This window comes from Homo sapiens, chromosome 6, assembly GCF_000001405.40.
Source record: "Homo sapiens chromosome 6, GRCh38.p14 Primary Assembly".
NCBI classification, from domain to species: domain Eukaryota; kingdom Metazoa; phylum Chordata; class Mammalia; order Primates; family Hominidae; genus Homo; species Homo sapiens.
This window is the reverse complement of record NC_000006.12, coordinates 48,760,293-48,787,227: the sequence shown is the minus strand read 5'-3', so window position 1 is coordinate 48,787,227 and position 26,935 is coordinate 48,760,293. Positions and strand designations below refer to the sequence as shown.

The following is a 26,935-nucleotide window of genomic DNA, read 5'->3' as shown; positions in this document are numbered from 1 at the left end:
AGAGTCCTATTGCTGTAGTAGTAAAATATGGCAGAAGGGGAGCCTTTATATGAGTTTACAATTAAAATTTCAATCTTTTCATGGGCCTGTGCCCTAGAGAGGGACCTTCTAGGTATTTTCTAGCATCATTAGGGGAGATAGGAAAGCTAGAGGAGCTGGATAATTGCTCTTCCCACAGGTCTAATAAGGAACTGGATAATTGTTCTGACCACAGGTCTGATAAGGCTCTGGCAAAGCTTAGCCTCTGAAAACATGCCTTTGTTATGAAGAATGCTTTGGTTGTGTTTCAAAATGGTAATTATTTCCTCCTCCCAACCTACTACAAAAATAAGCAAACAAACAACAACAACAACAACAAATACTTAAAGGCAATTTTCTTGGCTCTCCATGATGAGAACCTTTGGGTTTCTTGCAGCTAAAACCCATGAATGTTTGCTTCCCCCAAGACTGTGCCCAGGAGTTTCTAATTCTCATGCTAGTCCACATTCAGCCTCCAGAAATTTTTCAAAATTTTCATTTAAGTGTCTTTTCTAGTTTGGCACTCCAGTGGCTGTGTTCCACGTAGGCTGAGCTCAGCTGTGATTCTCTGTATTCATCTGTTTCTCCAGGTTTGGGGGTGACAGTGCCCTGTGATATCAGTTCCCTGATGGTTCCAACAAGATGTTGTTAATTTGAGTTTCTTCAGCTCTTTTCTTCTTGTAAGTGTAGGGCTGACAACTAACAAGCCCTTTACATGTCAAAGCTCAAATGAGAAGTCTGTCTAATTTCTTAAGAAATGGCCAAACTATTTCAAAAGTGGTTGTATCACTTTATATTTTCCAAACTAGTATATTGGATTTCACTTGCCCCATAGTGTCAGCAATAATTAGTATCATTAGGTTTTTAAGTTTTTGTTCTTTTATAATTTTTTTAATTTTTAATTTTTGTGGGTACATAGTAGGTGTATATATTTATGAGGTACATATTTATGGGGTATATAAGATGTTTAGATACAGGCATGCAATGTGAAAGAATCACAACATAAAGAATGGGAAATCCATACCCTCAAGCATTTATCCTTTGTGTTACAAACAATACAATTATACTCTTTTAGTTATTTTTAAATGTTCATTTAAGGTATTATTGACTATAGTATCCTGTTGTGTTATCAAATAGTAGGTCTTATTCATTCTTTCTATTTTTTGCATCCATTAACCATTCCTACCTCTCCCTTACACAACCTCCCTCATCCTCGACTACCATTCCCAAGCCTCTCATAACCATCCTTCTACTATCTCCATGAGTTCGATTGTTTTGATTTTCAGACCCCACAAAAAAAGTGACAACAGTGATATTTGTATTACTGTACCTGGCTTATTTCACTTAACATGAAAATCTCAAGTTTCATCCATGCTGTTAGAAATGACAGGGTCCCATTCTGTTTTATGGCAGAATAATACTCCATTGTGTATATGTGCCACAGTTTCTTTATACATTCATTTGTTTATGGACACTGAGGTTGCTCCCAAATCTTAGCTATTGTGAACAGTGCTGCAACAAACATGGGAGTGCAAATATACTGCACTTCAATATACTGATTTCCTATCTTTGGCATACATACCCAGCAGTGGAATTGCTGGATCATATGTGAGCTCAATTTTTAGTTTTTGAGGAACATGCACATTACTCTCTATGGTGGTTGTACTAATTTACATTCTCACATCCCTTTTTCTTCACATTCTTGCCAGTATTTATTATTGCTTGTCTTTTGGATATAAGCCATTTTAAGTAGGATGAGATGATATCTCATCTTACTTTTGATTTATATTGCTCTGATGATCAATGATGTTGAGGATATTTTCATATGCTTGTTTGCCATTCATATGAATCCTTTGGAGAAATGTCTATTCAAATTTTTTGCCCAACTTTTGACTGGATTATTAAATTTTTTCCTATAGAGTTGTTTGAGATCTTTATATATTCCAGAAATTAATCCTTTGTCAGAGGGGTAGTTTGCAAATATTTTCTTCCATTCTGTGGGTTGTCTCTTCATTTTGTTGATTGTATCCTTTTCTATGCAGGAGCTTTTTAACTTGATGTGATCTCATTTGTCCATGTTTTTATTTGTTTGCGTGTGTTTGTGGGGTATTGCTCAGGAAATTTTTGTCCAGACCAATGTACTGGAGATTTTCTCCAATGTTTTCTTATAGTAGTTTCATAGTGAGAGATCTTAGATTTAAGTCTTTAATTCATTTGATTTGATTTTTGTATGTGGCAAGACATATTAGTCTAATTTCATTCTTCTGCATATGGATATTTAGTTTACTCAGCACCATTTATTGAATAGACTTTTTTCCCAGTGCATGTTCTTAGCACCTTTGTCAAAAATGAGTTCAGTGTAGGTGTGTAGGTTTGTTTCTGGGTTCTCTATTCTGTTCCATTGGTCTATGTATCTGTTTTTATGCCAGTACCATGCTGTTTTGGTTACTGTAGTTCTTTAGTATAATTTGAAATCAGGTAATGTAACTCCTCCAGTTTTGTTCTTTTTACTTAGGATAGCTTTGGATATTCTGGGTCTTTTTTGTTCTATAAATATTTTAGGATTTTTTTTTCTATTTCTATGAAGTTTGTCATTGGCATTTTGGTAGGGATTGCTTTGAATCCATAGATTGCTTTGGATAGTATGGGTATTTTAACAATATTGTTTCTTCTAATCCACGAACATGGAATTTTTTTTCATATTTTAGTGTCCTCTTTAATTTCCTTCATCAGTGTTTTATAGCTGTCATTATAGAGATCTTTCATTTATTTGGTTAAGTTAATTGCTAGGTATTCAATTTTATGTGTGTCTGTTGTAAATGAAATTACTTTTTTGGTTTCTTTTTCAGATTGTTTGCCTTTGGCATATAGAAATGCTACTGATTTTTGTAAGTTAATTTTGTATCCTGCAACTTTACTGAATTTGTTTATCAGTTCTAATAGATTTTTTTGTGTGTGTGTGAAGTCTTCAGGTCTTTCCCAGTATAAGATCATGTCATCTGCAAACAAGGACAACCTGATATCTTCCATTCCAATTTGGATGCCCTTCATTTCTTTCTCTTCTCTGATTGCTCTAGCTAGGACTTCCAGCACTATGTTGAATAACAGTTGTGACAGTGGGCATCCTTGTCATGTTCCAGATATTAGAGAAAAGGGTTTCCATTTTTCCCCATTCAATATGACAATAGCTGTGAGTCTGTTGTATACTGCTTTCATTATGTTCAGATATGTTCCTTTTATACCCAGTATTTTGAGTGTTTTTGTCATGAAGGGATGCTGAATGTTATTTGTTGATTTTTTCAGCATCAATTGAAATAATCATATGCTTTTTATTCATCGTTCTGTTGATATGATGTATCACATTGATTTGCACATGTTGAATCTTCCTTGCATCCCAGGGATAAATCCTGCTTGGTTATAATGAAGATCTTTCTAATGTTTTGTTGAATTTTGTTTGCTAATGTTTTGTTGAGACTGTTTGCATCAATACTTATCAGAGATATTGGCCTGTAGTTTTCTTTTTATCATGTGTCTTTGTTTATTCTGAGACATCTGGTATAGACAGAGACACATAAAACAACAATATCATATCTACAAGACAATATATACAAGACAACTTGCAGACAACTGCAAGGAAATATCTTGTCTTGGTAACTTTGGTATACCATGGTTTTGGTATAAGGGTAATAATGACCTTGCAGAATGGGTTTGGAAGTATTCCCTTCTCCTGGATTTTTCAGGATAGTTTGAGTAGGGTTGATATTAGTTATTCTTTAAATGCTTGGTAGAAGTCAGCAGTGAAGCCATTGGGTCATGGGCTTTTCTTTATTGGGAAAAATTTTTATTATGGCTTTGATCTTGTTACTTATTATAGGTCTGTTCAGGTATTGGATTTCTTTCTGGTTCAATCTTGGTAGTGAAAGAGACAGGAAGCAGTGAAATTCTAGGCAGAAAAAGGTGGGTCCCTGACAAAACCCAACCCTCAAGCTGAAAATCCTGAAACCTACAGCCCAAAGTCAGAACATCTATCTCTGTTTCCCTACTGGAATATTGCCTTTTCCCAAACTACCCATGGCCTGCCCCACCTCTTACTGTACCTATAAACATTCCAGACGCAGCTGGCAGAGAAGAGAGAAGCAGCTGAACATTGGAACTACAGCTGGACATTGGAGAGAAGCAGCTTAACTTCAGAGGGACAGGATGACAGTGAAACTTTGGAGGAGAATCTGGCTGGAGACGGCAGGACTTCGGGGGAAGATTACCTACTACCCCCTCCCCTTTTCAGCTCCCCTTCCCACTGAGAGCCACATTCACTGGCAATAAAATTCCCTGCATTTACCATCATTCAATTATTCATGTGTCCTCATTTTTCCTGGATGCTAGACAAGAGCTTGGGAGCCACGATTGTGGCTACAAAAGGCTGTCACATTGGCCTTTCGCACTCACTAGTGGAGAGCAGCTGCCACATGGGAAAAGGCAAAGCATCCACTGAGCTGTTAATACTTAAGCCATCTGAGGATGGCAGAGCTGAAAGAACACTGTAACACACCCTCTGGGGCTTCGGGAGTCTCAGGTACCCTGCCTGGAAACTGCCACAGTGCCTGCACAGAGTTCACCCCTGCTGGCCCCCAAAAGGGTTCATTCAGGCTCCTGCACCTGCTTACCTGCACAACTCTCTTCCATAAGTGTGGGACACAGTCAGTCCGAGTGAGTGGAGTTTGATTCCCCCCTCCACCCCCTGGCCCCGGCGCCAAAGATGCCAGCTGATTTCAGCACTCCTGCACTCCAGTTCCCGCCTCATTTACTCACGCGCTCCCTCCTGCAAGGAGTTGAGAGGGACAGGCTCAGTAAATGAGTCAGGCCTGTTGTGCTTTCCCTGAAGAGGTCAGGGAAACACCCTGCTTTAATAGGTCATATGTGTCTAGGAATTTGTTCATTTCTTCTGGGTTTTCCAATTTATTGACATATAGTTGCCCATAGTAGCCACTAATAGTCCTTCAAATTTCTGCTGTATCAGTTGTAATGTCTCCTTTTTCATTTCTGATTTTATGTACATTTTCTTTTTTTCTTAGTCTGGCTAAAGTTTTGTCAATTTTGTTTAACTTTTTGAATAAAATAACTTTTTGTTTAATAATTTTTTCTATTCCATTTCAACTTCATTTATTTCTGCTCTGATTTTTATTATTTATTCTACTAATTTGGGATTTGGTTTGCTCTTGCTTTTCTAGTTTTTTAAGATGCATTGTTAGATTGTTTATTTGAAGTTTTTCCTCTTTTTTGATGTAGGCGTTTAAAGCTATAAACTTTCCTGTTAGTACTGGTTTTGATGTATTCAATAGGTTTTAGTGTGTTATGTTTTCATTATCATTTGTTTCAAGAAAGTTTTCAAATTTTTCAATTTCCTTCTTAATTTGTTCATTGACCTACTCTCCATTCAGGAGCACATTGCTCAATTTACATGTATTTTTATAGTTTCCAAATTTTCTCTTGTTATTAATTTTTAGTTTTATTCTACTGTGTTCTGAGAAGATGCTTGATATTATTTCAATTTTTTGAATGTGTTAAGTCTTGTTTTGTGACCTAACATATGGTCTATCCCTTGAGAATGACCCATAAGCTGAGGGGAAGAATGTGTGTTCTGCAGCCATTGGATGAACTGTTCTGTAAATATTGATTATATCCATTTGGTCTGTAGTGCAGATTAACTGTGATGTTTCTTTGTTGATTCTCTATCTAGAAAATCAGTCTAATGCTGAAAGTGGGGTGCTGAAGTCCTCAGCTATTATTATATTTGGTCCGTCTCTCTCTTTAGCTCTAATAATTTGCTTTATGTATATATATATGAGTGGTCCTGTGTTGAGTGCATATATATTTAAAATTGTTGTATTCTCTTGCTGAATTGACCCCTTTATCATTATATAGTGACCTTCTTTGTCTCTTCTTATAGCTTTTGTCTTGAAATCTATTTTATCTGATATAAGTGTAGTTAATCCTACTCTTTGTTGGTTTCCATTGGCGTGGAATATCTTTCCCCATCACTTTACTTTCAGTTTATTTGTGTTTTGATATGTGAAGTGTGTTTCTTATAGGCAACAGATCAATGGATCTCATTTTTTTATCCATTCTGCCACTCCTGTCTTTCAATTGAGAAACTTAGTCCATTTACATTCAGTGTCATTATTGATAAGACATTCTCATGCTATTTTAACATTTGTTTTCCAGTTCTTTTGTGATCTTCCTTCTTTCTTTTTTTTTTGTCTGCCTTTAGTGAAGGTGTTTTTCTCTGGTGATATGATTTAGTTTCCAGCTTTTTATTTTTTGTGTATCCATTGTATGTTTTTTGGTTTGATGTTACTATGAGACTTGCAAATACTCTCTTGTAGCCCATTGTTTTAAACTAATAACTACTTAACACTATTTGCATAAACAAACATGCAGAAATCAAACTAATAAAAACTCTACACCTCAACTTCTTCCCGCACCTTTTAACTTTTTCTTGTTTCTCTTTATGCCTTATTGTACTATGTCTTGAAAAATTGTTGTAATTACTTTTTATTGGTTTATCGTTTAGTGTTCCTTCTTAATAAGAGTAGTCTACACATCACGGTTACAAGGTTATATTATTCTGTGTTTTTCTGTATATTGATTATTACCAGTGAGTTTTTTGCCTTCAGGAGCTTACTTATTCCTTGTTAACATCCATTTCTTCCTGGTTGAAGTACTCCCTTTAGTATTTCTTGTAGGACTAGTCTGGTATTGATAAAATTCCTCAGTTTTTGTTTTTCTAGGAAAGTCTATTTCTCCTTCATTTTTAAAATATATTTTCCAAGATATACTCTTTTAGGGTAAAATTTCTTTTCCTTCAGCATTTTAAATATGGCATGCCACTATCTCCTGGCCTGTAAGGTTTTCCACTGAAGTCTGCTGCCAGACTTATTGGAGCTGCATTGTATGTTATTTGTTTCTTTTCTCTTGTTGCTTTTTGGATCTTTTCTTTGTCCTCAATCTTTGATAGCCTGTTTACTAAATGCCTTGAGGTAGTCTTCCTTCAGTTAAATCTGCTTGGTATTCTATTACTTTCTTGTACTTGGATATTGATATCTTTATCTAGGTTTGGGAAGTTCTCTGTTATTATCCCTTTGAATAAATTTTCTATTCCTATATCTTTTTATACCTCCTGTTTAAGGCCAGTAATTCATATTTGCACTTTTGAGGCAATTTTCTGGATACTACAGGTGGGCTTTATTGTTTTTTATTCCTTTTTCTTTTGTCTCTTCTGATTGTGTATTTTCAAATAGCCTGTCTTCAAGGTCACTGATTCTTTCTTCTGCTTAATCAATTCTGCTATTAAAAGACTCATGCAATCTTTAGCATGCCAATTATTTTAGGTCCAGAATTTCTGTTTGATTCCTTTTAATAATTTCAATCTCTTTGTTAAACTTATCTGATAGAATTCTAAATTTCTATGTGTCATCTTGAATTTCTTTGAGTTTCCTCAACATATCTATTTTGAATTCTCTATATGAAAAGTCACATATCTCTATTTCTCCAGGACTGGTCCCTGGTACCTTGTTTATTACATTTGGTAAGGTAATGCTTTCCTGGAAGGTGTTGATGCTAGCAGATGTTCTTCAGTGTCTGGACATCGAAGAGTTAGGTATTTATTGTAGTCTTTACTGTCTGGGTTCGTTTGTACTTGTCCTTCTTGGGAAGGCTTTCCAGATATTTGAAAGGAATTAGGTGTTGTGATCGAAACTGTATATGCTTTAGGGGACACATCAAATTCAGTAATGCTGTGGTTCTTGCAGACTCATAGTGGTATTGCCTTGATGGTCTTGGAGAAGATCCAGGAGAATTCTCGGATTACCATGCAGAGATTCTTGTTCTCTTCCTTTACTTTCTACCAGACAAAGTCTCTCTCTCTCTATCTCTCTCTGTTCTGAGCCACAAACTCAGGGTGGAGTGACACAAACACCCCTGTGGCCACCACCACTGTGACTGTCCGGGGTCAGACTGAAGCCAGCACAGCAATGTTTCGCACTCAAGGCCTGCTGTAACCACTCCTTGCCCACTGCCTATATTTGCTCAGGGGCCTGGGGCTCTGCGATCAGCAGGTTGCAACGCCAGTCAGACCAGTGTTCTTCTCTTCAGGGTGGCAATTTCCCATAGGCCCTAAGTGGGTCCAGAGGTGCCATTCAGGAAGTAGGAACTTGGGTCAAAAACCTTAGAAGTCTTAGAAGTCTACCTGGTGTTCCATTGTGCTGGAGCTGAGCTAGCACTCAAATCACAAGATGCAGTCCTCTCAATTCTTCCCTCCCCTTTCTTTCTTTTTTTGAGATGGAGTCTCACTTGTCGCCCAGGCTGGAGTGCAGTTGCGCGATCTCGGCTCACTGCAAGCTCCGCCTCCCGGATTCACGTCATTCTCCTACCTCAGCCTCCCGAGTGGCTGGGACTACAGGCACCCACCACCACGCCCAGCTAATTTTTTGTATTTTTAGTAGAGACGGGGTTTCACCATGTTAGCCAGGATGGTCTTGCTCTCCAAACTTCGTGATCCTCCCGCCTCGGCCTCCCAAAGTCCTGGGATTACAGGCATGAGCCACCGCGCCCAGCCTTCTGTCCCCTTTCTAAAAGCAGAGGAACCTCACCTTGTAGCCACCACCCCCAGGCCATGGGGAATACTGCCTGACTATTGCCAATTTTCTCTTAAGGCCCAAGGACACTTGAGTCAGCTTGTGGTGAATGCTGCCTGGACTGGGACTTATCCTTCAGGACAGTGGTCTCCTGTCTTGCAGGGCAAGTCCAGAAATGCTTTCCAAAAGTCAAGTCCTAGAATCAGGGATCCTAAGAGCTCACTTTGTGTTCTACCCACCCTATGGCCGTGCTGGTACTTAATGTACAAGATAAAGTCCTCTTTACTTTTCCACTTCTTTTCTCAAGCAAGAATTTCTCCCTGTAGCACTGTTTCTCACCCTCTAAAAGTTGCTGGCTTCAGGTGAGACTCAGAACATTTCCAGCTGTGTGGCTAGTAACTCCACGTAGTACCTGGTTATCACCGCTGGTTATTCTGGGCTCAAGCAGTCTTCAGTTAGCAGGTGATGAATGATGCTAGAACTGGATCTTTTTCTATGGGGCAGTGGGTTCCCTTTTTTGTCTAGGGCATGTCTAGAAATGTCATTTCGGAGCTAGGGTCTGGAACAGGGGCCTCACAACTCTGACCAGTACCCTATCCTGTTGTGGCTGAGCTGGTATCCAAGATGCAAAACAAAGTCCTCCCCATTTTTCCCTCTTCTCTCCCCAAGCAGAAGGAAAGGGTCTCCTTTGGGGCTTCATGCAGCCTGGGGTTAGGGGAGAGGTGATGCCAGCACTCCCTTAGCCACCCCAGCTGGTGTCTCAGTAGGTCACCTGCTCCCCCAGCCACTGTCTCTGGGCCTAGTTCAGCAATAGGACTCACCTAAAAATTGGAGTCCTTTTGGCCTAGACTGCATTTCAAGTTTATATAGAGCACAGAGCACTTAGCCTTCACTGCCAAGGTTTGTGGGAACTCAAGTTCAGATCACTGGGATTAGTGGTTCCCCTAAGGCTAGGGCTGGTTTAAATGCTCCCATTGTGGGCGGGTATCAGATGAGTCTGGACCAGTTTGCCTTTCTGCTGTAACAGAACAGCACTGAGTTCAGTGCCTCACAATTGTTGTGCTCTCCCTCCCTCCCCTCAGCACCCAGATACACTCTCTACACCATGCCACCACTGCTGGGGGATGGGGTAAGGGTAGTATTGGCGATTCGGGACTGTTTTTTCTATGTCTTCAGTGTCTCTTTCAGTGATAGACTTAAAACCAGGTACAACGAGGGCTCACCTGATTTTTGGTCCATATGAAGGTTTCCTTTTTCTATGTAGACAGTAGTTAAATTGGTGTCCTTGTTGGAGAAGAGGGGTGATGATAGGTGGAGCATTCTATTTCATCATCTTGCTCCCCTCTCCCACTAATCTAAAATTTAGACCTTCTAATAGGCCTATAGTGTTATCTTATGGCTTATAATTATTTAATGTTCCCCTGTTCATAATTTAACTTTCATGAATTTTTGGGGACCAATCCTATCAAGTACATTATATTCTCTAATTCTTTTGTGCTGACCATGTGGAAATACATTCATTTGTGATACACAGATTATTTGAGATATTATTTGTTCTTTGGTTGGTGTACTATTTTTGTCATTGTTTTACTCAAGGCAAGTGTAGTTTCCCCAGTCAGATTCTAAGTTATTCAGGAAAATTATCATCATTGTTTTCCATATGTCACTCCACTTTAACATAGGCTGAGATAAATTAGTACTTGATTAGCAAATGCTTTAAACAATTATTTGAACGGTGCATGTTCTTGACTGTCAGTAACAACTCTTGTTTTTATATATTAAGAAAAAGGTCTAAGCCACCACATAACAAAAATTCTGTTTTAGCGAACATCCTTGCAACTTGAAAAGAATAAGCAATTAGTATATTGCTATTAGGCTGGTCCCAGCATGTTTTTATTGCCTTAATCTGTGCCTGAACAATAATCATGCCAGTTGCACTGAATTGACATAATAGGAATGACAGAAGTGTTTAGAACCCAGTTATAAAAATAAATTAAAGGCGAGGTACACCAACTCACCCCAGTAGTCTCTAGATATTCATGATTTTCCTCTAACTATTGGTCATCCTGTTTTGTACAAATGGCTTAAGACATTTATAAAGTACCTTTTTAAAACTGTAAATATGTACTAATATATTTCAATGTTTCATATGCTTGCTTATTACTGTAGTGGTTTAAAAAATAGACATCATTGGTAAGATTGCACTTACAAATAGAATGTAAATTACTTTTCCTTTGCTTATTTGCTTAGATTAGTTTAAATTAGATTTATGCAGAGGTTTTGGAAAATAAAATAATAAAATGTATAATGCAAAGTCTCCATCTTTTTACTGTCTCAGTAAAAGAAGTGAGATAATAGATTATAAGATTAGTTGCACAAGGACTATTACATTATTTTATAATAAAAATATTATGCTTGATCATTATAGCGTACAAAATTTTCATTTTCATAATCTCAGGACAAACTTGAGAGCTACCTTAAAACACACTGCCCTAAAATAACAATAATAACACTTAGCCAGTATTTAAGTACCTACCATGAGTCTGGCACTGTGCTAAGCACCTATATATACTATCTTATTTAATTCTCAAGCAACACTATGAGCTAGGTACTATTCATATCTCTATTTTACAGATGACACATTGAAATTCAGAGAGAATAAATAACTTGTTCACAGTTTCATATTTATAAAATGGCAGTAAAAAATTCTGTTCCAAATTTATATTCTTAAACACTGAATTGGCTCAGAATTTTGTATTCCACAACTGAGGCCCAACATACACAGGAAACTTCTATCCTACTACTACTACATACCAACACTGCCTCTGTTCATCTTCCCCTGGACATTGTACTTGTATTCACACTTTTTGCAAGTGAGGGTGTAGGCAGTTTGTCTTCCCTATCCTCCTCATTCTCTAATTATATAAACTAATTACTTGAGCACATACTAAATCATTCATTCCTCCTGAGCTTAAAGGTAGAGGACATTCAAAGATACCTCTTATGTATAATTTTCTTCCACTTATCCTGTAACTAGTATTAAAGATAAAAATGAAGTCCACGGATTAGATATACTCCAAGGTCAACTGCCCACAACCATGTGATCAAAATTTAAGAGATACTGATTTCCCTGAAATGCTATATTTAATCATAAACCCAAAACATATTTTACATTCTTGCAGCATAACTCAGTGACATTAAACTCTAGACAAATCATCTTAAATAGCTCTGCTTATCTTTGAAAAAAGGCTAATGTATAACAGCCAATCGCAATAAAAGTCAAAATCTTCCTTCTTTATGCTTTGTAAACTGTGCTGTAACTCTTGTAAGGTGAGCTTCTTATCACGTGGGTTAAAGTCTTCCCAATTGCAATTTGTACTTTGTGTATGACAATAAACTTTTAATTTTTTCTAACTTGATCTGATTTTATTTTTGACCTTAGTCATAGTCAGTGAAAAAAAAAATCAAGCACTTTCTTCATATTAACTTAATTATATACTCTATTAGGCAACATATTATATTCTTGATTCTACAAGAACAATACAAATAAATATTTTGAAAACTATTTAAGGAAAATCATGCAGATGTCTTAATAGTTGGAAACAATTGAAAAAGATAAAGACTATTCATTCTAGAGAAGCAAAAAATGAGGAATTATATAAAATAATATTATAAAGAAAAGATATCAGATGTGATAAAGGAAAAGATACCAGACTCAATTCACTTCACTGGAGAAATAATAGAAAGCAGAAGACAATAAAATTACTTCTTCAAAGTCTCAAAAGTGCAATTTAGTGTTTTATACCCTGTGCACCAATCTTCAAAAATTTTTAAAGTAAAAAAACACAAAAACTTTTGTTTCTAGCACTATGTCTACGTAAATAATTGGAAAATCCCCCTTCATAAAATATCCAGCCATACTAGATAAAATATAACAAGTATCCTTTCATACATGTCTGACGTTATAAGAAGTTGAGTGAAATCATGAGGGTTATGAAGAGAAAAGAGAAGAATATAAATCTGTGACTTTTCTGTGGGGTAATTTTTAGACTGTATTAAGTTAAGGGGGTTGAATTTATTGCTGACATACTGAAAAGAAGGAAGGCTTAGACCCACCCACATGAGACTGAAACTTGAAACTGAGACCTCATTTAGAGCTCAGAATTTTAAATGAATGAATAAATACATAGAGAATTAAAGAAAAAAAATAATTCACTAGCAAGAAAAGTTTTCTGACTCAACCAGAGGCATGTGTTGCTTTGGTTTACATTTTAAAAAATCTCTCTCACTTACTTTTTTTTTTTAATTATGCACTTTTAGTGTGATGTACCTAAATGTGTAAGTGTATTTTCCTTTGCATCAGTCTCATTTTGTGTTCATAGAACCTCTGAATCTTTGGTCCAAAATCTTTAATGGGCTTTGAAAAATTATCAGCTATAATCTTTTCAAATATTGTTTCACCTATTTCATTTCTCCTGTCATTCTGGGTTTCAGTTGAATTTATATTAGAACCTACCACTTCATCACATCTATCTCTTACCTTTTTGTTGTTCATATTTTCCATGTCTTTTTCTCTCTCTGCTTCAGCCTGTATTTATTTTTTCTTGTAGCCTAACTTTCCAGTTCAATAATTGTCTTCTCACACAGCAAATCTGCTTTTAAATCTATTTACTGAGTTATTAATTTCAGTGTTTTATATTTCTATTTTGAATATTTTTAGTTCCCAGTCTCTGCTAAAATTACCAGCCTTGCATTTTGATTCCTTGAACAAATAAAGCTTCAAATCCATATTCTGGTAAAGTGTCTATATCACCTATTGGCTGTATAGATTGTCTTTTGAAAATTTTTTCGTTCAGATATGACTTATTTTTCACATATCTGCTTATTTTGTCTGCTTAGATAGAAAAATTGGGGGAGATAATCTGAAACTTTGGAAGATTTGTCTTCTTCCAGAGATGAATTTTGCTTCTGGAAGGCAGTTATGTATTTATCAACACCATGACAATTTAAATGGACCAGTGATCTCAATGATCCAAAACCAGATAACACCGATTGTGAGGGCTGATATAATTTCTGTAAATTTTAATTCCAGATAGTAGTTTTTTGATGTTTCAATTGAAGGCCTGGCTATTTACCAGAGCTCTTTCCACATGGAGTGGCCTAAGTTCTAATTGTATCCCCCAATTCATGAATCTATCAAAATCTTTGTTCATTTCTTAGCTGCTCAATTTTCATGTTCACAATTAGCAGATGCACATATTTTGTCTATATGTTTTCCACTTATTCTAATGCGAGGGATGGTTGTTTAAAACTTATTTTTTCCTTAATGAAAGTAACATACACTTTTTCCTTAAAATATACTATTATCATTTAATGTAATTTATATTTTTCTCTTATTTATCATCTCTCCTCTCCAAAATAGGAACTTAATGAAGTTAAGGATCTTGTACTATTCTGTTCATTCTTGTGGTTAGTGGTTAGGCCCATTTAAAAGTATTCCTATTCTCCTTCTACTGGACAAGTTGTAAGACGACTACTTTTCTTCATTCAGATAGAAAGCTGATGTCCCCTTGTCACTTGCTTTGCCAATAAAAGGTAAACTTAAATGACATGGTTGACTTCCAGATAGGAATGTTATGGGTCTGAATGCACTACTCTTGGTTCTCTTTTCCCCTGTAAAAATTAATAACATTATATGGAATGGTTACTCTCTGGTTTCCAGAGTGACTTCAGTGAGGACCAGGGGCCCCAGGCAACAATAATGCATATTGTCACGCAAGTAGCATGAGCTAAAATAAATCCTTTTTTTTATGTTCCCTTAATGTTTTGAGATGGTTGGATATGATTGCATAACCTTTTCTGATGACTAGATCGCCAATGTCTAATGAAGTGCTGGAATATTATATGTGTTTGATAAACATTTGTTGAATGAATAGATAATGAACAGATGATTTGATCTAGTATTTATTATGTATTATGCATGGTGCTATGCATTTTACATATATTATTTCATATAACTACTTGAAATATCCTCTAAGATACATGTTATTACCTGCATTTTGTTCATATAAAAACTGAAATTCAAATTACCCAAGAAAATTGGCTGAATAGCAGACAATAGTTGAGTAAGATATCCAAAATTCATAACCAGGTCTATTACTCAATGGTGAAAATGCTATTAAATATTAATCTAGGCCAGGCGCAGTGGCTCATGCCTGTAATCCCAGCACTTTGGGAGACTGAGGCATGTGGATCACCTGAGGTCAGGAGTTTGAGACCAGCCTGGCCAACATGGGGAAGCCCCATCTCTACTAAAAAAAAAAAAAAAAATTAGCCAGGTGTGGTGGCACACACCTGTAATCCCAGCTACTAGGGAGGCTGAGGCATGAGAATTGCTTGAGCCTGGGAGAAGGAGGTTGCCGTGAGCTGAGATCATGCCACTGCACTCCAGCCTGGGTGACAGAGTGAGACTCTGTCTCAAAAAATAATAATAATAATTTAAAAAAATAAATATTAATCTGGAGCAGAAACTGATACTATATTAAATGTTATTGTATCAACGAAAATTAATTGCTTCTGGGAGGTATAAAACTGTATAAAAGGGCATATCCACCATTTACTATACCACCTGTAAGGGTACATCATAGAAGCAAGGTGGCTACACTCTGGTCAGTAATGAAGAAAATAAAATTTTATTTGATAGCACATTAAATTTAGTATATGGGAATAATTACCATATAAGACACCATATTTCCAATAAAGAGTCATGGAATTTTTCCTGTTGGTATGACATATAGGATCTCGAAGCCCCATTGGACTCAGTGGGACTCCACTTATAGGACAGCAATCCCAGCTTTCAGGCACAATATGCATATCAAACGTTGGCTTAATGAAATTCTTAAAGTAGCAGATAATTCCTTTGTTCTCACCATACTTGGCTGATGAAGAGGTCCATAATAGGAAGAATCCATTCCTTAATATAAACTCAATCCATTACCCCTGAAGCATTGTTAATGACAAAACAAGGATGAATAGTATTTTTTATCTCCAATGAGATTTTGCCTTCATCAGAATCAGATTGGATAATATGTTTTTCTAAAATTTAGGGGTGTGGAAAAGTTCAATACAATTAAAATTATACTTACTGTTTTGTAATGGCAAGTTAAGGGCATGTTCAGTTTAAATAACAAGAATTATATAGAATGCTTATTCTATTTCTGAATTTTTTGGCTCTGTGTCTTCACATTTCTGGTTCTTTAAGAGCTAAAAGCCCCTGCAACAAAAATAAAGCTATTGTAATGTCTTTCTAACATTTCTGCTAAATCCCATAATTTTTGTGTTTTTCATTGTGTATTTTTTTTAGATAAGTGGTATTTTCTTAGCATTTGCCTGACATGGTATGAGTATTCAGTCTCTAAGGAATTTTAAATGCATGAGTGTCAAAATACTGAATAAAATCTATCATTATGAATGTGTTTGAAAATGAATTTTCTTGGTTATGAATATATAGAATATTTAAATTAGATAATCCACCCTCTTAAAAAATTTCTACAAAGATACTAACATGGCAAAATTCATAATTTGAATCCAAATCCATATTGAAAATATTTTCTTCCTTATGTTAAATTCAAATAGCTGTAAATTGGAATAGAAGAGTACTCAAATTGTCACTAATTATCTTCCAGACTATACTGACTTCGAAAATGATGCAAAAATGAGGTGCCTTTAAAGAATGTTATTTAGTTCTGGGTAGTCATTAATGTGTTGAGAGCTGTCACAATGTGTTCATTGATGCTTTGGTTTGGCAGCGTAGGATCTATGAGAATTAGAAAATACTGTCAATATAGACTAAGTTTCATATGGGAAACCTAAGCATTAAGTTCTGCTAAAATTATGAAATGGAAAAAGTACTAAAGGATGTGAAAGTTGGAGACAACTTCAAGATTAACTGAAACCTAATATGAACATAACAAAATGGTAGAACTTATACAAATACTGGAGAAAGACTTTTCTAGAAAAGGTGGGGTTTTGAGAAGAAATTAAGAGGTAGCAAAAAATATCTCACATTCAAAGCAAAATAGATTGACCATTTTAAGTGCAGTAGATTTGTGAAGAGAACATGAGTATAAGATTGTATAGACAATTTGGATGATATTCTGTGGGTCCTAAAATATAATAGCAAAAACTGGGCTTCTTTTTTTTAAGTAAGAAGAGTCAATGATAGTTTTTTTTCCTTTCTTTTCCTTTTTAATAGAGGTAACGACAATTACAAAATTATTTAGATTAAGATAACAGTTTAACATTTATTAAGCAAAAACTATATGTCAGACACTGTGTTCAAGGGTAGTTATGTAATCAAGAATATATTCTTAAGTTTAATGTTCTTGTACCATAATAATGTTGGCAGCTATCTAAATCCAAGTATCTTCACATGAAAGGAAGAAAAAAAGAAGAAAGAAAGAAAGAGAGAGAAAGAAAGAAAGGCTTTTGTATATGTCTTCTACATAGTTTTCATTTTGAATCATAAAAATGCCTTACCTATTCAAAATTTAAATTAAAATTTTAAAATAAATATATTGCTTGTTTGTGACCATCATATATGCTATTTTTGCAAAGGTGTTACCTGTTGCCTGCTTTCAGTCTGCTAGTCTTTTATTCTTTTATTTATCTTTTTATTCTCCTTCTGAGGAGGTTTCAATGCATTTGTGGACTTCTTTATGATGGATGCATAGCCAGTTAATATTTACTTTCTTGTAACTTCTTACAGAGTTTTGTTTCCTTCCTTCCTTCCTTTCTTTTCTTTCTTTCTTTTTCTTTCTTTCTGTTGTTCTTTGTTTCTTTTTCTTTCTCTCTTTCTTTCATTTGCCTTACTGCATTTTTCCTCTATGCCTCATGAATAAAACATCATTGATAGTTTACGAGACAGTAGCATGAAAGTGTATATTCATATATTATAAATGCATATCTCTTTCAATTTTAAGCCTCTCCTTTCAAAACACTACAGTAAGATTCCAGATTTTCCAATTAGAATATTTCAGTTGGAAAGATCACTTTGACTGAAAAAAAAAGAAACAATTAAAATAAAATTCGTAGTACATTTTGTCATCAATATTTAAGAAGCTACATTTTTAAATCAAGCTAGGAATAAAGTACCTACAATTATCTCATTATATGGTGTAATCTGCAATTTAAATTATATATATACACACAGCAAACCAAGTATAAAACATGATTGGTAGCTTAAGAGATAGTGGTATGAAAGTGTATATTCACATATTATAAATGCACATATATGCCTATATATTTTAAACATATATATACTCGCAATTCTATACTTGGATTACTGTATAAATATATACAGCATAAGTGTATGTACGTGTGTGTGTATATATATATACACACACACACAGTATAAGTATACTGTATTCCACATAAGTATATATATATATGCACATTTATTTTCTCTCACAATATTGCCTGAGTGCTTGAGCTGATGATAACTTCTTATTGTAAGATTTTTAGATTTTTAGAAAGGAATAAATGTATAAGTTTCTTGAATGTTACGAGAGAAGTAACACCACTAAAAAAAATGTGTGTGGAGAACTAGACCTTTTAGTCTTATTTTTCTTTTTCATGAACCTGTATCAGTGCTGCGTGAATGGTACCCTCTAGGAAGTATTTAATCACACAAAGAATTTGAGAAAGGCGATAGAACAAAATCATAGTGCCATTCTTGTATAAAGTAATAAAGTATTTTGTCATTTATGATTTTGTTATATGGTCACAAATTCATAAGGTTAGAAAGACAGTGATAATTATATTCACTATGCAACTCATCATTTCCTATCGTGAACAGGATACATGACATTTGAGCTACATAATTAAACACTTGACCTGGACTAGCTCAACTATGTTCTTCACTTTATAAGTGAGGACATTTTATTTTGCACAAGACAAAAAGCCCAAAATGAACTAGTATTTTGCTAGACTTTTCAAAAAATATTAATCCAATAATTTTGATTGACACCCTAGTCTATTTTTATTTCTAAATTTTCCCAGAGCTTAGAAGATGCTTAATAATGACAGGAATGGTTTTACTATCTCAGCAGAAAGAGATCTCCAGTGCATGTGAAATATAGTTGCTATTTTTGGAAGACTGAAAATGCTAGATTGATGGCTATATATTATAACCACTATATGATCAATTTTCTATTAGTGATTTAAGGTAAAAGAAGAATCTGAGAACCACATGGGTCCAAGTGATTTCATTTGCACCACAGAAAATTGTACTAGGCACTTATCATTGACTGTATGAATTACTATGAGTTCAGATTACTTTAATGCCACACTTTCCTCTTTAGATGGAATTACACTTCTACAAAATTATTTTGTAACCACGTCCAATTTTTTTCATCTGATTTGAGGAGGCAGAATTGAGCTAACAACACACCCACCACCCCTACCAGCACTACCACCTCTACTTTTGAACTGAAGTGTGTGTGTGTGTGTGTGTGTGCGCGTGTGTGTGTAATAGCTAATAAGTAATGGCTAATAACAAACACCTAATGAATGGTAGGAAAGTCATCGGCCTTCTCTCCATATGTCTTCTTTCCCAAACATCATTTGTAATATTGAGTATAATGTTATTTAATACACTCAACACATTCTGAGAGTAATACAAATGCAATCCAGAATGTTTCATTAATGTAAGTCATGATTTCTAAATACTCCTCCTCATCCAATTTCATTTTAATTACAAATTAATTTTTAACTTAACATAAAGTCATATATTAAGTACATCTGCTCCTTAGGATTTGTTACTAACTTTATAGTTATAATTTCCTAATTATAATTTTCCAATAATAGTTTCCTAATTTCATAATAGTTCTTCTACAACCTAATGGTGATCCCTCAAATGTAAAGTTTGTTATCAGGAATAATTTTCAACAAGAAATAAAACTTTAAAAGAAGGTGATTCTATAGTTATTAAAATATTGCTAGAAACATATTAAAGCAAGAAAATCAATCAAGAGATAAAGAACATCACTACATCAAGTGTTAAATCTTCCACAAACTATGAGTGGATGATTTACAAAACAAAATAAAATCTCAAAGACACTGGAACAAAAAGTTTCCCATGTATTGTTATATATTTTTCTCTATATTAGTTTGTTCTTGAAGAGAAATTGATGTAGAAAAATCTTAATCTCATACATGCTTCCTCAAAATGGAAAATTTGAAGTTATAAATATTGTATTGGATAATTATATTGGATGCATATAAGAGTGAAAACATTGATGTTATTAGCATTTCCAGTGCACACAAGATAGATCCTTGTATTCATGGTGTTATTTTTCAAGGTGTTCAAGCAAATGGAGGTGATGTATATTAATTGATAGAGTGGAAGTTGTGTAGTAACTTGGAATGTACTCCCTGCAGGTAAAGATGATTTATTTCACAATTTGCTCATTGCTTCATCTGTGGGATAAATAAATGAAGTTATTATTGAAAAGTATTATTAGGGCTCTAAAAAATGTAAGTCATGAGTAAAAGAACTTAAGCCTCAGAGTAGTAATGGTGAGATGGCAGCAAAAGGTGTCTAGATTTAATTTTAATGTCTTCTGAGTCTGAAAGTCTATATTTTTAAGCAGGGGAACATACACAGTATAAATACTTCTATAATATTCATATTTGTATATCAAGTATCTGTAGCATTGAGTACATTTTTTAGTGCTTCTCATTTCTTTTACCTGATGTTATGGTAATCTATTTACTAATAATATGAGCCCAAATTCACATGTACTATCCACTTGAGCAAAGCATTTAACCTGTATTTGTATTATCCTTAAAATAATTCTGTAGGATAGATTTTTTTTTAATTTTACTTTTTGGGAAACTCATGTTCACAGAATTTAAGTCCCTTGATGAAAATATCATAGCAAGTGACTGAGTCAGTTAAGGAAAGAAATCTGGACTTTGAATTCTGCTTTGTGTGACTCACATCTGGGTGTTTTTCACCCCATGGTACTTGGAACTCCCTTTGTGCAGGGCTACATATTACTCACTTGAATCAATTTCTCAACCTTACTTCACCTGTAATGCTACAGGTCAAATCTGCTGAATGGATATGTAATTGAGAAGAATCTGGCGGGCATAGTGATGTCGTGTTAGATAAAAACTTCGGGGATCCCTGTGTTCCAGCATGTTCTGGACCTAGATAATAGTATGACCTTGAATACATTATTTCACCTTCTTTGTGGGCATCAAATTCTTCAAGTACAAAAAAGGAAGTAGTTATTAAAATTACATCTGATCATGGTTTTGTAATCTAGAACTCTATAAATAGGAGCTATTAGTAGCAGGGATAAAATTAATAATCCCAGCACTGGTCTTTATTCCAAGTTTATCCTGTCACTGCCAATATGCCGGCCAATCCCTGTAGCCTCTACCTCTTGGGCTCAAGCTATCCTCCCAACTCAGCTCCCCAAAGTGCTGGGATTACAGGAGCAATCCCAGCAACATGTCTGGCTAACTGGCCAGTCTTTTAAACATTTTGTTCTGGGATACACACTTCTACCTTCAGTCTTGTATTTTCTTCTTAGAATGAGAGCAACAGAAAATGCTCTATGATAGTATGAAAAGGAGATAAAGAGTCTAACACATAAATCTGGAACTTGAGACCATTTCATACATTTTTTACTTGGTAATCTGTGCTTTTGGTAAGTCCCTCAAAAAGTACGAAGTGGCAAGGATAGCTCAAAGAGTTTAAAGCCTAATTTAGTGTTCCTTTTTTATTCCATGTTTATTGCAGCACTATTCACAATAGCTATGATTTGGAAGCAACCTAGGGTCCATCAATAGATAAATGAATGAAAAAAAATGTGATATATTGACTATTGTTTCTTAACACAGCCACAGCAGTATTTTTGTTTTCATTTGACAAAAACATTACATTGATGTAATTTGATACTGAAGACACATTTTTTTTCTCCATACTGGATATCCATATAAGCAGTAGGTGGCTCTCTTGAGCTATTCGTTCGAGCATTCGGAAGTCTGACTGCCCGGGGATTCAGCCACACTTGGTAGATGGCAATCCCCTGTAAATACCTTGGGAGGAAAGGCCACTAACTCGAGAAAATCCAGATTATTGTATTACTTTCTAAGTGCTCTAAATGTTAATGCTGTGTTTTTTAAAGATACGCTGGAAATATGAAAATACACAGATTATCTCTTCAATTAAAGAAAATAACTTGCCTATGTTTCCCTACCAGTTTTCCTGATTCAAGACATATGCATTACAATAGTGAATTTAAAATTCCTTTGAGGATAAAGAGCTAGAAAAGATTAAGAAATTCATTGAACTACCCATCTGTTTTAGGTTTTTCTGTCCTCATATGCTTGACTGTGATAAGAAGATGGAAGTAAATGAATTGTAAATCGCACTGTTAACATTTAAAGTTTTACCAAATAAGGGTGGTTATTTTTCCTTTATTACATCAATGCTTTGTGTGGTGATTGCTATTCATAGTTGGAAATCCCAGCCAGGCTATAGAAGATTTTAGGTTTTATATTTTAAAATTTTTATATGTAGAAGGCAGAAAATGGTTTCATATTTTCTCTCTGCTAGCAGGTTATTTTTAAAATATAGAACTCTGCATGTGTTTAGTGGCACCACACCCCTCACTTTGTTATGCAACACTATGAGCAGGTAGTGGTAGGGTTTCCTATATTAAGTTTCAGAATTTTATTACCTATCAAGTGTCAGAAAGTTGCTGCCAAGATCATTAAAATCTACACAATAAATAGAGTAAAACTAATTCAACAGTAAAAAAACACATGCAATTGCCAAATCAGAGTTCCCAATATTAAATAACTTCAGAAACCAGACACATAATAAAGACGAGTGAAGCACATCGGGTAATGAAAGGAATGGGAAGGATACGGAGAAATGGAGACTTCTGTTGTGCCTGACCGTATTACTTATCAAAAGCTTTAAATCTGTATTCCGATGAAACTAAATGTATCCGGCCACAGTCTTATTGTTGAATACATGTTTGCAGCTCATGTAGGAAGGGTAGAAGAATCTGGGCTCTTGCCTGGACTCTCTGCTTTGTTTGGTTGTTTTAAATATAAAGTGCTGATATGAGAACAACCAGCTGTAGGCATACACTTATAATCAGCTACAGGAAATCTGGATAGATAAGACCCAGATGAAATTAAATAGAGAATAATAGTTCAAATGGGACACATTGAGACAGATTATTTCCTAATTAAAGTAGTTTGTTGTGTTTCTGAAGTTATTTCAATAAACTAGTATTCTGGTTTTCATCAGAAAATAACTATCACTTAAAAGAAATGGCTACTTCATCATATATTCTGGAAAGTTCCAGCTTTCTCATAGGTAATATAAGTTTTGTTTATTAGAGTTCAGTAGAGTGCTGGACAGTCTGCTATTTCTATACATAAGGAGAGCATTTTAAAAATGAAAGAAAGAATCCTCAGACCAACTTTAATCTTCTGGATGAGTCTACTAAGTTTCAGTTAGGTTAGAGAAATAATCTAAGAGCAAAATTTTAAAAAAGTGATTAGAACATTTGTTTCTTAATTTTATGCCCATAGTGTTACCAGACTTGTGGTTATATGCAAAATATAAAACATCTGCTATATTCTTCCTTACTTCACGACTTTGCAAGACAACAGTTCCATGCAAAAATAACGACACAGGTTTATATAGTTGGAAAAGCCATCATGTTCCACTAAATACCATCAATATTGGTAACTTGCATACAGCCAAGGCAACACTTACCTATAGTAACACAATTTTACCTGTGTGCTGGCAATTCCATTAGACATAACCCCTTCAGATATAGAGACTTCCTGTCAAGGCAGAGAATGACATCCCCTTGAAATAGACAGGCTGGGTACAGACTTTGTTTCGTGAGATTCATGTGTAAGATCATACACACACTCAGTACTTACTGGAAAATGATATTTAATAAGTCCTTCAAACTCAGACCTTTAGTTAAAGTTAACATACAAAATTCTTCAAATTTAATGATGTAATCATATGCTTGAAATTCTCCAAATTCAGTTATGCATTCCAATCTCTTCACATTAAGGCACGTATAATAAAGGATACTATTTGTAGAGCAGACTAGGACCCACCTCATGGTCAGACACTCTTGTAAAAGAGACACTCTGAGCTAAAGGTAGCTGTATTTCAGAACAATTGATGCAATGGCTCCACATTCCTTAGCCTGCTTCTTTACTTAAATAACACTCTGCATTTGAAAATCATAGCTCATGTATTATTGCATTATTCCTTTATCTATTGATTCAAGCAATTGTTACATTTTTAAAAATGTATGTACTGAGCACTGAACTAGAGGCTGTAACGACAACAAAAAGTTTATGCATGGAAGAATCACAATATCTGGACTGTGTTCTCAATAATTGTTCACTATCAATTAAAATAAATATGAGGTAGACACAAATCAGGAAAAACATAATACATGGTATGAATAACAATCATGGAGTAAAAGCCTTGCTCTCTATGTACAGAGGAAGGAGTGTCCATCATTTACCAGAAAATAAGGGCATGTTTCCCAAAGATAGTAATATTTGAAGATCCACAAACTCCTGGATCATTGAATGAGGACAAGTTAAGACATTCCAGCCTCCTTAATTTTAAAATCAGTGCAAAGGTTATTTTATTACATGTTGTATATGCTCTATGAATCCACAGCTTTTATCGGACAGATCATTAGTGCCATCTATTTAGCATATTTTATTTTTATTACATAAAAAGAGTATTAGGAGGAGGATGTGTGTATAGAAGAAATGGAGGAAAAGATTTTCAACACAAGATAACTAATTAACAACAACAACAACATGTTAAGTACAACTGCTTCTTAGTGACCTGGTTTGTGATTTAGTTCTTGAACCAAATGAGCTGACTCTAAGCAGATAGGAGTATTTCCTCGGGAGTTCTCCCAGTTTCTCCCATGGCCCATTGCATTTCAACCCACTCTTTAAAAGCTTTAGGGTCTCTGTTCTCTTGTTTTTCCTCATTTTCTTGAATAAAATCTTTGTATCCAGTATTTTCAATATGTCAAGATGCTGCAATTTGGCAATGCACAACACAAGTGTAAAAATATCTTATCTTTCAACCCAATAATTTTGTGCTGGATAAGTTGTCAAAGATCAGCAAAAGTTAGCTCTTGTTGAATTTCACAAGCAATAATTAAAAAAAAAAAAAACCTGAATCGTGCAACATAGTATTTTGGTAAATTGTGATACACTGCAGTGGTGGAATATGATGCAGATGTGACTAGTCTTTAGAAGAATAATCACGAAATATATTTTTTAAATTCCAGTTTTAAAAGAGAATGTAAAGCAAGTGTTAGCTATGATTATTATTGTGTGGAGGGCTCATGTGTGGATTTAAATATCTATTTTGATGTTTTGCCACAGTTTATAAATTTTCTATAATAAACATTATTTCTTCAATCTGAACATGCACAAAATAAATGCTGTCACATTTATACATCTGATTTTGCACAGTTGTCCATCTGATTTTAACTAGTATCACATACTGTCTTAGGGTTAAAGATTGGACCTTTAACTGTGGAAGTTTTGTTCTCACCCAGCTGATAAAATATGGAAGTGCTAGTAAGGAGTTTGTAGTACTTGCCTTAATATTCTTGAAAGCATACCTCTTAGACCATCAGATCTGCAATTAAGATCTTGGTCCAAGATAACATGTCCTAATTATTTATCTTTGGCTTTGAACTTTAACCTTCACCTGAAGTTAAAAAAAAAAAATGAAACTCTCTTGTACTGAGCACAAACTGTGTAGAAGGAGCTTTGTGCATGTACATTTGTTTAATCTGTACAACTATCTCATGAGGAAGGTGTCATTAGTTCTTTTTTAAAAAGTAATTACACCAGAGGTGGGCAGATCACGTGAGGTTAGGAGTTCAAGACCAGCCTGGCCAACATGGTGAAACACCATCTCTACTAAAAATATAAAAAGTAGCAGGGTGAGGTGGCGGGTGCCTGTAATCCCAGCTTCTAGGGAGGCTGAGGCAGAAGAATCGCTGGAACCTGGGAGGCAGAGCTTGCAAGTGAGCCAAGATCCATTGCGCCATTGCATTCCAGCCTGGGCCACAGACAGAGCAAGATTCAGTCAAAAAAAAAGAAAAAGGTGATTATATTGAAATTCATGGAAATAACATAAACTACTCCAAAGGTATTCAAGTAGAACTAGGAATCCAACTCAAATCTGTCCACCTACAAACGCCACATTACCTCCCCAGGGAAGACACTATACTTAGCTGGTGTCCTGGGAAACAATATATATATATTTTTTTATAGTTCTGAAGCCTTACACTCATTAGTCACTCCATGTTTCTCTGTCTTTTGCAAAAAATTGTGGGCGTACTTAGCCAGACACAATGAGAAATAGATCACTACCATCATCATCCCAAATATTGTATATAGTCTAATAAATAATATATGTACCCTTTGTAAATTCTTATAGAAAAATATTTATGCATAAAAATTATACTTAATTTGTTTTATGTTGCTAGTGACATACAAAGGGAAAACTCCTCATCCACCTGTTTAAATCAGGCATTAGAGTTATAGTAGCTCTTCTTAATGCAATGCCTCTCAACAAGAGTTCAGATGCCCTTGTGATTTTGAAACAATTTATTATCTATGGTGGAAAATAAATTTGAAGGTGTTTAAATTAAATTACTTCTCTAAGAATGAGAGTGAAAATCATCTGTTCAGATAAGTCATGATTTTGTTTTCAAAATTTTGACGAGAACTTAGACATTTAAAAATAATCACTAGTGGAATTGGAGAAAGAAATTACTTGGCACTCATCAAAGAATTTCTAGGTTGTATTAAACACCCAAACACATTTGCAGACCATGAAATGTAGAAAGACAACTCTACCTGTGTATTTTATTATTTTCTTTAATAATGCCTCATAACCCAGACATAGGAGGAGTTGAGTCAGACGATGTTATTCGATGTGTGAGTTTGTTATGTTTTGTTTCCTGGGGCAAAGGAGGTCAGGATATTGGAGGAAAAACTGGCTGCAGTTATATTTTTTGACACTCTAAGTAGACAAGTCGAAAAGTGTCAAGTAAAGTGGGACTTACATGTAACGAGAAAGTAGGTAGGGTAGTGTAGAGATTGGATAGTCAATCATATCAAAGTATACATATATACTTCATTGGTTAAAGGATACAAAATTTCAGTTAGATAAG

At 34.9% G+C, this 26,935-nt stretch overlaps 1 annotated feature.

Moving 5' to 3' along the window:
- Positions 21,598-22,195: an enhancer, noted in NCBI's record as "NANOG hESC enhancer chr6:48732670-48733267 (GRCh37/hg19 assembly coordinates)". NCBI's record gives its function as "activates a minimal SCP1, AML or CMV promoter by ChIP-STARR-seq in naive H9 embryonic stem cells {active_cell/tissue: H9 hESC(naive)}" and the evidence as "EXISTENCE:reporter gene assay evidence [ECO:0000049][PMID:30033119]".